We start from the raw sequence: 14,174 nt of genomic DNA, 5'->3' as shown, positions 1-14,174 counted from the left end.
GGGTTTTGCTGGCTATAGGACGTCAGCAAGACAAACCCTGAGTGGTTCTTCTCCAGGTTGTCTGCTGAAGCCACCATCAGATGCCTCCCCTCTGTGGGGAGGAGAAGGGTCCACTCTGGGGACCAAAAAGGGGCCGAGCCGGGCATGGCAGTCCACCTGCGGGGCTGTCCTCAGCGTCTTGGCGTTTAGACTTTCTCTGCGTTCCCAGACAGCATTTTAAGCAGCATGACTCACCGGGAAGCCTGGTCTGCCTGCAAAGCAGCCAAATGTCTGGCCCACAGCCGATGGTTATGAGAGTAAACTCAAGCTCTGCTTTTAGTGGCACTGGTCACCCACTTACTTCTGTCCATGCAGCACCTTCTCCCCTGGCTCATGCAGAGCTCTGACATGTGATCTTCCAGCCGTGGGCCACGGGCTGGTTCACCTATTACAGAGTGGGAACCTCCTGGGGTGCAATTGGTGTCATTTACAGTGTGACATTAAACGGAAAGCTGTTAGACCACAACAACTGCAGCTCCCATTCCTTCTTGAACTTGGAACTGGGCATGTTGTAGGCTCCCATAAATGTAAAACAAGACCGGGCGTGGTGGCTCACGCCTGTAATCCCAACACTTTGGGAGGCTGAGGTGAGCAGATCACCAGAGGGCGGGAGTTCAAGACCAGCCTGACCAAGATGGAGAAACCCCATCTCCACTAAAAATACAAAATTATCCAGGCGTGGTGGTGCATGCCTGTAATCCCAGCTACTCGGGAGGGTGAGGCAGGAGAATCACTTGAACCTGGAAGGCGGAGGTTGTGGTGAGCCGAGATCGCGCCATTGCACTCCAGCCTGGGCAACAAGAGCGAAACTCCATCTCAAAAAAACAAACCTTTGTATGTGGTGCCTGAGAAATACCTATCGAATGATTAGAATGTCAATAAACTGAGGTTTGTAAAGTACAGCTCTCATTAAGTGCTCACCATACGTGTTAGATATTTCACATCAACATGGCCTTTTGGGATGAAGAGGTTGCTGGGGGTTAAGATCCCAGTTTGAGAGATGTGGAACCTGGACCTCACACAGTGAATCATTTGTCCAAGGCCACGCGACCATGGAGTGACTGGAGTGCAAACTCTGCCTCGATGCCGGTGCAGGCTTGCTTGGATCCCCACACTGCCATTTCTCCCCATGGTGTGCGTCTGATGGCTTCTGTGGCATGGCTCAGTGTCCACAGGGCTTCCAGCTGGCCACCATGGTAGAGAGGAGATGCTGGTGGTCCATGGTGGAGCGGGCCAAGCAGTAACCCTGGTGGGTCCCATCTGCACGGTCCAGTGGAGGCTGTGGCTGCACAGAGAGCCTTTTTCTTTTTTTTCTTTTTGAGACAGGGTCTCGCTGTCACCCAGGCTGGAGTGAAGTGGCACGATCTCGGCTCACTGCAAGCTCCACCTCCCAGGTTCATGCCATTCGCCTGCCTCAGCCTCCTGAGTAGCTGGGACTGCAGGCGCCCGCCACCACGCCTGGCTAATTTTCTGTATTTTTAGTAGAGACGGGGTTTCACCATGTTAGCCAGGATGGTCTTGATCTCCTGACCTCGTGATCTGCCCGCCTCGGCCTCCCAAAGTGCTGGGATTACAGGAGTGAGCCACCGCGCCCGGCCACAGAGAGCCTTTTTCAAATTGCTTTTTCAGGGCCTGAAATCTGGTGTGGAAAATTTAATTGCATACTATCTGAAGCTTCCCAACAGCCGAGACATTGGTTTGGAAATGTGTTCACTCCCTGAAAATCCACCTGCACCTCATACCTCTGTCCCATCTCACATCCTCTCAACCACCTCTTTTTTTTTTTTTTTTTTTTTTTTTTTTTTTTGAGACGGGGTCTCATTCTGTTGTCCAGGCTGGAGGGCCGTATGGCAGTCTCAGCTCACTGCAACCTCCTCCTCCCAGGTTCAAGCGATTCTCCTGCTTCACTCAGCCTCCTGAGCAGCTGGGATTACAGGCGTGTGCCACCACACCTGGCTAATTTTTGTATTTTTGGAAGAGACGGGGTTTTACCATGTTGGCCAGGCTGGTCTTGAACTCCTGACCTCAGGTGATCCACCCACCTCTGCCTCCCAAAGTGCTGGGATTACAGACTTGAGCCATCGCACCCGGCCTCTCTCAGCCACCTTGACTCCTGCCATTGTGGCGACAGCCAGCTCTGCATGGGTCTGAGTGTCCTGGCAGCACCCAACATCAGCCTCTGTCATCTTTAGGAAGCTGCGAGGCACTCAGGCATATGTAGCCTTGAAGCATGTGAATGACAACACCGTTTGGGGCCACCCTTCACCCGTGGGACATGGAGCCAGTAGACACAAGCTCTCCTCTTCTGTCACTGGCGTGGACAATTCGGAGGCACATTTTATTCGGCTCCTCAGAAGGTGCTACGGTTTGGATATGGTTTGTTGACATTTGGCCCTCAGTGTGGCAGTGTTGGGAGGTGGGGCTTTGTGGGAGGTGTTTGGGTCACGAGAGTGGATCCCTCATGGATGGCTTGGTGCCTTCTCTCAGGAGTGAGTGAGTTCTTCCTCTTGTGGGAATGGATTAGTTCCCGAGAGAGCAGGTTGTTATAAAACCAGGAAGCCCCTTGGGTTTTGCTTCTTTACACGTGTCTGCTTCCCCTTCAACCTTCTCCACCATGCTACGAGGCCAGGCAGATGCTGGCACCATGCCCTCGAACTTCTCAGCATGCAGAGCCGTAAGGTAAATAAACCTCTTTTCTTGACTGGGCATGGTGGTTCACGCCTGTAATCCCAGCACTTTGGGAGGCCAAGGCGGGTGGATCACGAGGTCAGGAGATCGAGACCACCCTGGCCAACATGGTGAAACCCTGTCTCTACTAAAAATACAAAAATTGGCCGGGCGTGGTAGCTCATGCCTGTAATCCCAGTACTTTGGGAGGCCAAGGCGGGCGGATCATGAGGTCAGGAGATCGAGACCATCCTGGCTAACACAGTGAAACCACATCTCTACTAAAAATACAAAAAAATTAGCCGGGCATGGTGGTGGGCACCTGTAGTCCCAGCTACTCGGGAGGCTGAGGCAGGAGAATGGCGTGAACCCGGGAGGCGGAGCTTGCAGTGAGCCAAGATTGCGCCACTGCACTCCAGCCTGGGCAACAGAGCAAGACTCCGTCTCAAAACAAAACAAAACAAAGCAAAAAAAACACACAAACATTAGCTGAGTATGGTGGCACATGCCCGTATCCCAGCTACACAGGAGACTGAGGCAGAAGAATCGCTTGAACCAAGGAGTCAAAGGTTGCAGTGAGCCAAGATCATGCCACTGCACTCCAGCCTGGCGACAGAGCGACACTCCGCCTCAAAAAAAAAAAAAAAAAAAAAACCTCTTTTCTTTATAAATTACCCAGCCCCAGGTATTCTGTTATAGCAACATGACATGGACTGAAACAGAAGGTCCCCACAAGATCAAGCCCCGGGTAGGAGACCCAGGCTAAGGCACTAACCAAGAGGCCTGTGGCTCCTCTGGACGATTTTTCCAGGAGGAAGTGGGATTCTCCGTGGCCACTGACATGGGCTGAATTGTGTCCCCTCCTCAAATTTCTACGTTGAAATTTTTTTTTTTTTTTTTTTTTTGAGAACTGTGGAGTGCACCCAGGCTGGAGTGCAGTGACGTGAACATGGCTCACCACAGCCTCAACCTCCTGGGCCCAGGCAATCCTCCTATCTCGGCTCCCCAAGTAGCTGGGACTGCAGGTGTGCACTACCACACCTGGCCAGTTTTTGTATTTTTTGTAGAGATGGGGCTTTGCCATGTTGCCCAGGCTGGTTTCAAGCTCCTGAGCTCAAGTATTCCACCTGCCTCAGCCTCCCAGAGTGCTGGGATGACACGTGTGAGCCATCATACCAGGCCCCTGTGTTGATGTCCTAACTTCCAATGTGATAGGATTAGGAGGTGGGGCTTTTAGGGGGGTTCTTAGGTCATGAGGGTAGAGTCCTCATGAATGGGATTAGGGCCCTTCTAAGGGGGCCCCACAGAGCTGCCTCACCCTCTTTCCGCCATATGAGAATGCAATGAGAAGACAGCAGTCTGCAACCGGAAAGAGGGGCCCCACTAGAACCCAACCATGCTGGCACTGTGATTTCGAACTTCAGTCTCTGGAACTGGGAGAAATCAATTTCTGCTGTTTTGAAGCTGCCCGGTCTACGGTATATTGTTAGAGCAGCCGGAACACACCAATACGGGCATATCCTTCCAGCGGAGAAATGGAACTCTTCTCTGGTGATAACAAACCAAGAATACAGAGAGTCATAGGACCGTGGATGCTTCTTTTTTTTTTTTTTAGACAAGGTCTCGCTCTGTCGCCCAGGCTGGAGTGCAGTGGTGCAATCACAGCTCACTGCGGCCTCAGCCTTATGGGCTCAAGCAACCCTCCCACCTCAGCCTCCTGAGTAGCTGGGACTACTCAGCCTGGCTAATTTTTTTTGTATATCTTGTAGAGACGGGGTTTCACCATGTTGCCCAGGCTGGTCTCAAACTCCTGAGCTCAATCGATCCGCCCACCTCAGCCTCCTAAACTGCTGGGATTATAGGCGTGAGCCACCGTGCCTGGCCAAATAAATCTTAGGGTATTTCTGGTGCAGGAGTAACCAGATTCTGACTGAGCACAGTGGCTCACACCTGTAATCCCAGCACTTTGGGAGGCTGAGACAGGAGGATCTCTTGAGCCCAAGACTTCGAGACCAGCCTGAGTGATATAGTGAGACCTTGTCTCTACAGAAAATTTTAAAAGTTAGCTGAGCATGGTGGTGGCGTGCACCTGTGATTCCAGTTACTTGGGAGGCTAAGGTGGGAGGATCGCTTGAGCCCAGGAGGTGGAGGTTGCAGTGAGCCAAGATCATACCACTGTACTCCAGCCTATGTGACAGAGTAAGATCCTATATCAAAACAAAACAAAAACAAACAAAAAAACCCACAAAACCAAAAACTGGTTAAACAAAAGGAAGAGTATTGGTTCACATAACAGTGTAGCTTAGTAGGAGCTTCAGGAACGGTTTGATCCAGGACTCAAGTGATTTAGGGATGCATTAGTATCTCTTAGCTCTGTTTCCTGTAGATTGGCTTCCATCCTCAGACTGGCTACCCTTATGGTAACAAAAATGGCCACAGTTATCACAAGCTTGATGCCCTCCTAGCATTAAACCCACTGGAATCCAAGTCCTGGTGTTCCTACCCAAAAAGCTGAGGCTCACCTCTGCACAGCCCAGCCCTAAGTCAATCACTGTGGCCAGGGTGAAAGGGATATGCTAATTAGGATAGGCTGGCCAGGCCGTCTCAGAGCTGGGGTAGGGTCAACCTCCAACCACTGAACAGACACTAATCAGAGAGGAGCAGCTTCCCAGAGGAAATTGTGGGTACTCTTGTCACGGATGAGGGCGAATAGATGTTGGCAGCGCAGTACAGACCTCCAGTATTCCTGCAAGGTGAGTGTCAGTCCTGTTTTACAGATGAGGAAAGTGAGGCTCCCAGATGATAAGTCATTAAGCCAAAGTCACATAATTTGTGGAGTCAGGGATGCGTTCCCAAGCCTGTCCAGCTCCAAAACTAGATGCTCCCACTACTAGCTCAAGTGATGGCAGACACATTTTGGAAACAACCACCCGCCCTACGTTTCCAGAAGCAGCATCAATTTCTGCCAGGCAGGGACGTTTTTCCTTTTCATCCCGGAATCTCTCTGGGCAGGGAAGGCTTGAGGAGCCTCTGAAGAGCAGGCAGGACATTGGTGGACGGCACTTACTTCCAGGCTCATGAACCTGGTGGGAGGAGCTTAGCCCTGGCGTGAGAGCGAATTCTCTCTAGGAATCTTTTTTGACTGGAACTCAAAGGGGAACAACACAGACACACCTCAGCGAATGCAGCCTGCAGGAGAGACAGACGAGTGTGGACGGAGGATTACCCAGGTGCCGAGGCAAGAGACTGAAGGCACAAACTGTTTCAGTATAATAAACAAAATAGTTAGAATGAGAATAGTTATAATACAAATTAGATATAGAGATGATCATGGACATTATAAATCATTAGTATAAACATTATTAATCATTAACTTTTAATATTACTCTTTGTTGTATAACCAAGGAATAACCGGCGGGTATAGGGACAGGGGCTGAAGGGACATTGTGAGAAGTGACCAAGAAGGCAAGAGGTGAGCCCTCTGTCACACCTGCATCAGGGCCGCTTGAGGGCTCCTTGGTCAAGTGGTAATGCCAGTGCCTGGGAAGGCACCCGTTACTTAGCAAACCGTGAAAGGGAGTCTCCGTTTCCTTGGAGGAGTCAGGGAACACTCTGCTCCACCAGCTTCTTGTGGGAGGCTGGATATTATCCAGGCCTGCCCGCAGTCATCCGGAGGCCTAAACCCCTCCCTGTGGTGCTGTGCTTCCATGGTCACGCTCCTTGTCCACTTTCATGCTCTTCCCGTACTCCTGGTTCCTCTTTGAAGTTCTTAGAAGATAGCGGTAGAAGAAATAGTGAAAATCTTAAAGTCTTTGATCGAATTTCTGATAAGTGCACAGAAGAAAACGCTGACGTATGCTGCCTTCCCTCTCTGCTTCAGCTACCTAAAAGGAAAGGGACCCCTGTCCTATGATCACGTGACTTGCTTGACCTTATCAATCACTTGGACGACCCACCTTCCTTACCCTGCCTGCCCCCCTTGTCTTGTATACAATAAATATCAGCGCGCCCAGCCATTCGGGGCCACTACCGGTCTTCGTGTTTTGGTGGTAGTGGTCCCCCAGGCCCAGCTGTTTTCTATTTATCTCTTTGTCTTGTGTCTTTATTTCTTACTATGTCTGTCTCCGCACATGGGGAGAACACCCGCCAAACCCCGTAGGGCTGGACCCTATAGACGAGAAAGTGGATGATGATACTGCAGTCAGGGCTGCGGGACTATGGGGCAGGGACATCTAACCTCCCCTTGAAAGTCAGGGAGGTCTTCCTGGAGGAAGGTGAAACCTCCAATCTGGAAACCGAAAGATGATGGGAGTCAGCCAAGCTAAGCAGTGGAGAGCCTGAGTGAACGAATGAATGCACAGAGGTGGGTGGGTGTAGGGAAGCCAGGGAGCCTTTATTTTGAAACAGGGTCTCCCAGGCTGCAGTGCAGTGGTACAATCATGGCTCACTGCAGCCTCGAGCTCTTGGGCTCAAGTGATCCTCCCACCTCAGCCTCCTGAGTAGCTGGGACCACAAGTGCATGCTACCACACCCGGCTAATTTTTTAAAAATGTTCTGTAGAGATGGGGCCTCGCCATGTTGCCCGGGCTGGCCTCAAACTCCTGGGCTCAAGCGATCCTTCCGCCTCGGCCTCCCAAAGTGTTGGATTACAGGTGTGAGCCACTGCACCCACCCAAGAATTGGATTTCTTCATTGGCATCACTGACCTCTAGGGACAAAGGGTGGGCTCTGGCCCTAATTCACGGCAACAGTGACATTAGAGATCATCATTCCTCCCATGGACGTATCCCTTCTTCTCTCCTTATTACTGTCATAATTTTAGCCAATCTACAGCTTCCCTGAAAACCAAAGAACGGTTTTATCACCATGTTTTACAAAGTGCAAATTGAGACCCGGTGAAAAACAGTGACTTGCTAAAGGTCAAAGGTCACTCATGGAGTTGGGTGGTGGCACCCTTGCAGGATGTACCCCCAGCCAATGGTGTGTTAATCATTACCTCTGCTAACAGCTTGTGATGGTTAATGGTAAGCGTCAGGAGTTCGAGACCAGCCTGGCCAACATGGTGAAACCCCATCTCTGCTAAAAATACAAAACATTAGCCGAGTGTGGTGGCGGGTGCCTGTAATCCCAGCTACTTGGGAGGCTGAGGCAAGAGAATCGCTTGAACCTAGGAGACAGAGGTTGCAGTGACCCGAGATCGTGCCATTGCACTCCAGCCTGGGTGACAGAGAGAAACTTCATCTCAAAAAAAAAAAAAAAAAAAAAAACCAAAAAAACAGTGTCAACTTGATTGCATCAAAGGATGCAAAGTATTGTTTCTGGGTGTATCTGGATGTTTCTGGGCGTGGCCAGAATAGATTAACACTTGAGTCAGTGGACTGGGACAGGAAGACCCACTCACAGTGTCGGGGGCACCATCCAGTCGGCTGCCAGCACAGCTAGAAAAAGCAGGCAGAAGAAGGTGGAAAAAGCCGACTTGCCGGGTCCTCCGGGCTTCATCTTTCTCCCGTGCTGGAGGCTTCCTGCCCTTGAACATCAGACTCCAAGTTCTTCAGCTTTTGGACTCTTGGACTTACACCAGTGGTTTGCTGGGGGCTCTCAGGCCTTCAGCCACAGATTGAAGGCTGCACTGTCAGCTTGCCTACTTTTGAGGTTTTGGGACCTGGACTGAGCCACTGCTGGCTTCCTTGATCCTCAACTTGCAGGCGGCTTATCATGGGACTTGACCTTGTGATCGTGTGAGTCAATTCTCCTTAATAAAGTCCCTCTCATATATACGTAGATCCTATTGGTCCTGTCCCTCTAGAGAACCCTAACACACACGTGGAGGAGAGCTCTGAAAACCCGGGCCAGGGACCAGTGTGACTGCTCTGTGGCTGTCCTGGGAGACGGCAACACTGGGCAAGTGAGCTCGTGAGAAAGGCTGGGGCTCCTCTCAGAATAAAACCTTGGGAAGAGACAACTACACAGCATTCGCAGGGGCCGGGCGCAGTAGCTCACGCCTGTAATCCCAGCACTTTGGGAGGCCGAGGCAGGCGGATCACCTTAGGTCAGGAGTTCGAGACCAGCCTGGCCAACATGGTGAAACCCCATCTCTACTAAAAATACAAAAATTAGCCGGGCATGGTGGCTCACACCTGTAATCCCAGCTACTCGGGAAGCTGAGGCAGGAGAATCGCTTGAACCCAGGAGGCGGAGGTTGCAGTGAGCTGAGATCGCACCACAGCACTCCAGCCTGGGTGACAAGAGCAAGACTCCATCTCAAACAAACAAAACCTTTCTCTTGTCATGTAACCCATACATACACATGCTATGTACCCACAAACATTAAAAATCAGAAATTTAAGACAAAACAAAAGCAACAGAAAACCTTTTTTTGAGGAGTCCCTAAGGCTTCACCAGTTTGTCAAAATTGGAGCTTGATTGCTGAGACTTTATTTGCATACCCACAATGCATTGTGCACCAAATAATTTTCGTCTTTAAAATTACTAGTCCCCTTTTTCCTTCAATCTATCTTTCCTGAAACTGAGATTGCTGTTCCAGAATTGTCTGAAGAAAAAGGCAGAAGTCAATAGCTCTTTTGGGCAGAAAGAAATTTACCATTAGCCTGTTGGGAGTAGCCATTACCTGAGAACTGAGTGCCACTCATCGAAGTTCTTACTCTAGTTTCTCTTCATATCGCATAAATCTTTCGCCTTTTACTAAAGATTTCCGTGGAGAGGAATAATTCTGAGTTTTAAACCAATTTTTTAGAGGTCTTGCATTTTTTAGCAAGGCTTATTTGAGCGTTTTAAAAGTAGATGCCCTTAGCCATTACGACGGTTCGTATTTACTCTGAAACAAGAAACACACTCAAAACTCAGAGAAAACATTGTTCCCTAGTATTTGAGTCTGAAGGACCAGAGCTGGCTTCTGGAGGAGCAGCTGGCCTTGGGGGAAAAGGACAATTTACCCTCCTACGTAGCTTGAATGGGGCTTTGAGTCGCATGGCGGGGCACGGCGGGGCACGGCGGGGCACGGCGGGGCACGGCGGGGCTGGGCTGTGGGCGGCTGCTTCAGGGCCTGAGCCCGGGGTAGATTTTTTTTTTTTTTTTTTTTTTTTTTTGAGACAGAGTCTCGCTCTGTCGCTCAGGATCGAGTGCAGTGGCGCGATCTCGGTTCACTGCAACCTCCGCCTTCCAGGTTCAAGCGATTCTCCTGCCTCAGCCTCCCGAGTGGCTGTGATTACAGGCATGCGCCCTCCTGCCCGGCTAATTTTTGTATTTTTAGTAGAGACGGGGTTTCTCCATGTTGGCCAGGCCAGTCTCGAACTCCTGACCTCAGGTGATCCGCAGGTGATCCGCCCGCCTCGGCCTCCCAAAGTGCTGGGATTACAGGCGTGAGCCACCGCGCCCGGCCTGGGGGTCAGGATTTTTTGCGATGGATTTCCTCCCTCCTTTACTGGGACAGACCCTGCTAGTTTTTCCTCCCCAGTACTCAACCTCTCTCTAGAATCTCCTATCGCTAGCAGGGCTCACGGCTACCTGAAGGCATGACTGCACTTCCCAGCCTCCCTTGCGGCTGAGACGAATTCTGGCCAATGGGAGTGGCTGGAAAATTCACTTTCTCTTGCGTTTCATCAAACCGGTTGGGTCGGGGGAGGACTAGCTGCGCGCCTGGCACGCTCCTCAGGCGGGGATACGGGGCAGAAGAGCCCTTGGGACTGCCTTCTTCGATTCTACACGGAGAAGCCGGCGGGAGCAGCGGGGGAGCTCGCCCCGAGTCCCTGCTTCATTTGATCGGATAGTCCAGCGGTCCCCAACCTTTCTGGCACAAGGGACCCAGTTCATGGAAGGCAGTTTTTCCAAGGGCGGGGGAAGGTGGGTAGGGGGTGTGGACAGTTCCAGGTTGAAACTGTGCCCCTCGTCATCAGCCATTAGATTCTTAAAAGGAGCACGCACCTAGATACCTCGTATACGCAGTTCACAATAGGGTTCCCGCTCCTAGGAGAATCTGATGCCTTGCTGCCCTGACAGCAGGCGGACCTCAGGCGTTAATGCTCGCTTGTGAGTCGGTAACCCTCCATCACTCAGTGGCTGGGGTTAAAAACCACTGGTGTAATCAACCAACAAACCCTACTTCTTGGTCAAAAGCAGTAAGCCACCCCAACATCTTAATATTATAACTGCTCAGAAATGCAATACAATTGATATCACATACCTTAACAAAGCGAAAAGCTGAAAAACCGTAACTCGCATTTGTTCTATAATACACTTTACATAGCTCCACACGCGATTTAACGGAATCGCATCTGTTTTTAAAACACTTAAAATAAGCCCTGCTAAGAAACGCAAGGCCTCAAAAAATTGGTTTCAGACTCACACTCGTTTCTCTCCACGGAAATCTTTAGTAAAAGGCGAAAGATTTATACGATTTGAAGAGAAACCAGAGTATAACATCAGTCGTCGACACTACAGTTCTCAGGTAACGGCTACTCCTAAACGGGTAATGGTAACTTTCCTTCGGCCCAAAAGAGCTATTGACTTCAGCCTTTTTCTTCAGACAATTCTGGGACAGCAATCTCGGTTCCGAGAAAGATATGTTGAAGGAAAAAGGGGAAATAATTTTAAAGACGAACATTATTTAGTGCGCAATGCATTGTGGGTATGCAAATAAAGTCTCACCAATCACGCTCCAGTTTCAGGAAATACCTTAAATGGTTCATGCGTTTTAGCGCTGCGCCTGAGGCCACCACCGCGGGGCAGAGCAGAGTCTGGTCCCAGAAGAAAAAGGCTGACTTTACCTGCTTTACTTACAGTGGGCGAGCTATTAGATCGGTGCAAAAGTAATTGCGGTTTTTGCAATTTTTTTTTTTTTTTAATTGCACAATTAGCCTAATAAGTAAAGAATTTTTTTGAACTTAAAAAAAAAAGTAAAAAAAAAATTATCTTGGCTGGACTCCGTGGCTCACCCTTGTAATCCCAGCACTTTGGGTGGCTGAGGCAGGCTGATCGCCTGAACTAGGGGTTCAAGACCAGCCTGGGCAACATAACGAGAGCGTGTCTCCAAAAAAAAATTCTTACACTTCTAGCCACTCCAGACCTACTGCAGGCCTGGGGATTGGGCCCAGCCCCCTGAGTCTGAACTCATCCTCCGTGTGATTCTGATGGAGGCCACATTGAGAACCTCTGTTGGCAACTGTTGTGCCTGAAATATGGAGAGTGAGGAGTTTGGGAGACAGATTACTGGCTGAGCAGGGGAAGGCCTGGGAAAGGCTGTGAAATGAGGAGAGAAAAGGCCAAGGAAGGTCCCTGGGGGATGGTGGCATAAAAGGAGGGGACAGTGCAGGAGCCTATGAAAGAGATTAGAGAAATTGAGGGAGGCAGGAGGAAAACCTGGACTGGGAGCCTCACAGAAACCGAGGGCAGAGAGGAGGTTTCCTGGCCGGGCGCGGTGGCTCACGCCTGTAATCCCAACACTTTGGGAGAGAGGAAGGAAACAGTAGGTGAGGAGGGGCAGGAGATGGGGAGGGGGCGGTAGCTGGCTCCTGGTTGCAGATGGGAAGGAGAAGCGGTGCAGGTGCCTCCCCGCAGTGATCGTGGTCCATGGAGCCTGGGCCCCCCCACTACCCCTGTTCTCTCACTCCCCTGCAGCCCCTCCTTTGCTGGCCCCTCTTTCCTTCCGTCTTCTCACCTGGGAAGATCCCAGGGCCATCTTTCCAGCCTCTGCCCTGTAGCAGCTGAACTGCTGGAAAAATTCCACAGCAGGGGAACCTCCCATACAGGCCTCCACTTCACCTGTTTCTCTGATTGGCTCCATTTCCCACCTCAAGATGTCCTTTTTAGGCCGAGTGCGGTGGCTCACGCCTGTAATCCCAGCACTTTGGGAGGTGGAGGCAGGCGGATCACCTGAGGTCAGGAGTTCGAGACCAGCCTGGCCAACATGGGGAAACCCCGTCTCTACTAAAAATACAAAAATTATCTTGGTGTGTCGACGCGTGCCTGTAATCCCAGCTACTTGGGAGGCTGAGGCACGAGAACCACTTGAACCCAGGAGGCGGAGGTTGCAGTGAGCCGAGATCGCACCATTGCACTCAAGCCTGGGTGAAAGAGCAAAACTCCGTCTCAAAAAACAAACAAACACACAAACACCCCTTTTAATCCTTCTCTCCCTTCAGCTTCCCCCTCTGCAACTCACCGTGTCAGCCCACGACATCCCAGGGGCTTCCTTGAGAGGCCAGACGCCCTCATCTTCCCAGCCCGCCTGCAACCGCATCTGGCTCATCTTCTGCCTCCTCCCATGAACGGCCCTCCTCCTGGGCTTTGAACCCCAACTCCACAAAGATGGCTCCCCTCCCATGCAATCCCCCAGCAGCACCCTCCGTGTCCCTCCCGCTGTGGTCTGAATGTCGTGGCCACTCACACATCCACAGGCTGAAATGTAATCTCCAAGGTGATGGTATTGATAAGTGGGGCCTCTGGAAGGTGATTGGGTCATGGATGGGATCAGTGTCCTTATAAAAGGGTTTGAGGGAGCGAGTTTGTCCCTTTCACCCTCCCATCAAGTGGGGACACAGGGAAGGCGCCGTCTATGAGGAACAGGCCTTCACTAGACAGCAAATTTGCTGATGCCTTGATGTTGGACTTCCCAGCCTCCAGAACTGTGAGCAATAAATAACTTTCTGCTGTTTATAAATTATCCAGTTTAAGGTATTTTGTCATAGCACCTGAACTAGGACACCCCCCCTACTGGCTCATCTTCTAGACGGATGAGTAGGCTTCCTTACCTCCTAACCTGAGAGAGAGAGAGAGAGAGGAGTGAAGGAGGAAGTGGGGAAGGAAGAAAGACTTCCTAAACCTCATCACCATCAGCCACAACAAAGCAAAGCACTTTTACTTTGTATTTCTATTTTAGAAAAAAATCTGATGGAAATCTCTTTAGTAAAAAGAAACTTGGGGCCGGGCGCAGTGGCTCAGGCCTGTAATCCCAGCACTTTGGGAGGCCAAGGCGGGCGGATCCCCTGAGATCAGGAGTTCGAGACCAGCCTGGCCAACATGGTGAAACCCCGTCTCTACTAAAAACACAAAAATTAGCTGGGCATGGTAGGCCCCTATAGTCCCAGTTACTTGGGAGGCTGAGGCAAGAGAATCGCTTGAACCCAGGAGGCAGAGGTTGCAATGAGCCAAGATCGTGCCACTGCACTCCAGCCTGGGGGACAGAGCAAGACTCCGTCTCAAAAAAAAAAAAAAAAAGATTTCCAAACAGGGACTCAAACAGATGACTCTACATGAGCATTAATAGCAGCGTTGTTCATAACAGCCCAAAGATGACAACAATCCCAGTGTCTATCCGCTGATGAGTGGATAAACAAAATGTGGTTTACCCATACAATGGAATACTATTCAGCCATAAAAAGGAGAGAAATTCTGGTACACACTACATTGTAGATGAAATTTGAGGATGCATGCTACATGAAAGAAGCCAGCCA

The 14,174-nt window shown here is 50.6% G+C and overlaps 1 long non-coding RNA gene, 1 other non-coding gene and 1 pseudogene across 2 annotated transcripts, besides 7 other annotated features; 1 reads left to right on the top strand and 2 right to left on the bottom strand.

Annotated features, from left to right (window-relative positions):
• Positions 2,174-2,329: a silencer, noted in NCBI's record as "fragment chr1:11977020-11977175 (GRCh37/hg19 assembly coordinates)". NCBI's record gives its function as "represses an EF-1alpha promoter that drives an FKBP-Casp9 reporter gene in an ReSE screen in HepG2 liver carcinoma cells {active_cell/tissue: HepG2}" and the evidence as "EXISTENCE:reporter gene assay evidence [ECO:0000049][PMID:32094911]".
• Positions 4,203-4,262: an enhancer, noted in NCBI's record as "active region_181". NCBI's record gives its function as "activates an Ori minimal core promoter by ATAC-STARR-seq in GM12878 lymphoblastoid cells {active_cell/tissue: GM12878}" and the evidence as "EXISTENCE:reporter gene assay evidence [ECO:0000049][PMID:35858748]".
• LOC124903843 (uncharacterized) lies at positions 6,066-7,799 on the bottom strand. The gene is made up of 2 exons (XR_007065464.1): positions 7,703-7,799; positions 6,066-6,474 (listed from the first exon to the last, which is right to left on the bottom strand). It is a non-coding gene; the product is annotated as an uncharacterized LOC124903843 (long non-coding RNA).
• RNU5E-4P (RNA, U5E small nuclear 4, pseudogene) lies at positions 9,365-9,484 on the top strand (annotated as a pseudogene).
• Positions 9,835-9,884: a silencer, noted in NCBI's record as "silent region_276". NCBI's record gives its function as "represses an Ori minimal core promoter by ATAC-STARR-seq in GM12878 lymphoblastoid cells {active_cell/tissue: GM12878}" and the evidence as "EXISTENCE:reporter gene assay evidence [ECO:0000049][PMID:35858748]".
• Positions 10,449-11,012: an enhancer, noted in NCBI's record as "OCT4-NANOG-H3K27ac-H3K4me1 hESC enhancer chr1:11968337-11968900 (GRCh37/hg19 assembly coordinates)". NCBI's record gives its function as "activates a minimal SCP1, AML or CMV promoter by ChIP-STARR-seq in naive H9 embryonic stem cells {active_cell/tissue: H9 hESC(naive)}" and the evidence as "EXISTENCE:reporter gene assay evidence [ECO:0000049][PMID:30033119]".
• Positions 10,706-11,000: a silencer, noted in NCBI's record as "tiled region #3932; HepG2 Repressive non-DNase unmatched - State 1:Tss". NCBI's record gives its function as "represses a minimal TATA promoter and a strong SV40 promoter by Sharpr-MPRA in HepG2 cells {active_cell/tissue: HepG2}" and the evidence as "EXISTENCE:reporter gene assay evidence [ECO:0000049][PMID:27701403]".
• RNU5E-1 (RNA, U5E small nuclear 1) lies at positions 11,020-11,140 on the bottom strand. Its single transcript, NR_002754.3, has one exon. It is a non-coding gene; the product is annotated as an RNA, U5E small nuclear 1 (small nuclear RNA).
• Positions 11,025-11,074: a silencer, noted in NCBI's record as "silent region_275". NCBI's record gives its function as "represses an Ori minimal core promoter by ATAC-STARR-seq in GM12878 lymphoblastoid cells {active_cell/tissue: GM12878}" and the evidence as "EXISTENCE:reporter gene assay evidence [ECO:0000049][PMID:35858748]".
• Positions 11,245-11,354: an enhancer, noted in NCBI's record as "active region_180". NCBI's record gives its function as "activates an Ori minimal core promoter by ATAC-STARR-seq in GM12878 lymphoblastoid cells {active_cell/tissue: GM12878}" and the evidence as "EXISTENCE:reporter gene assay evidence [ECO:0000049][PMID:35858748]".

Source organism: Homo sapiens, chromosome 1 (assembly GCF_000001405.40).
Source record: "Homo sapiens chromosome 1, GRCh38.p14 Primary Assembly".
NCBI lineage: Eukaryota > Metazoa > Chordata > Mammalia > Primates > Hominidae > Homo > Homo sapiens.
The sequence above is the reverse complement of the archived record's forward strand: the minus strand, read 5'-3'. Positions and strand labels throughout refer to the sequence as shown.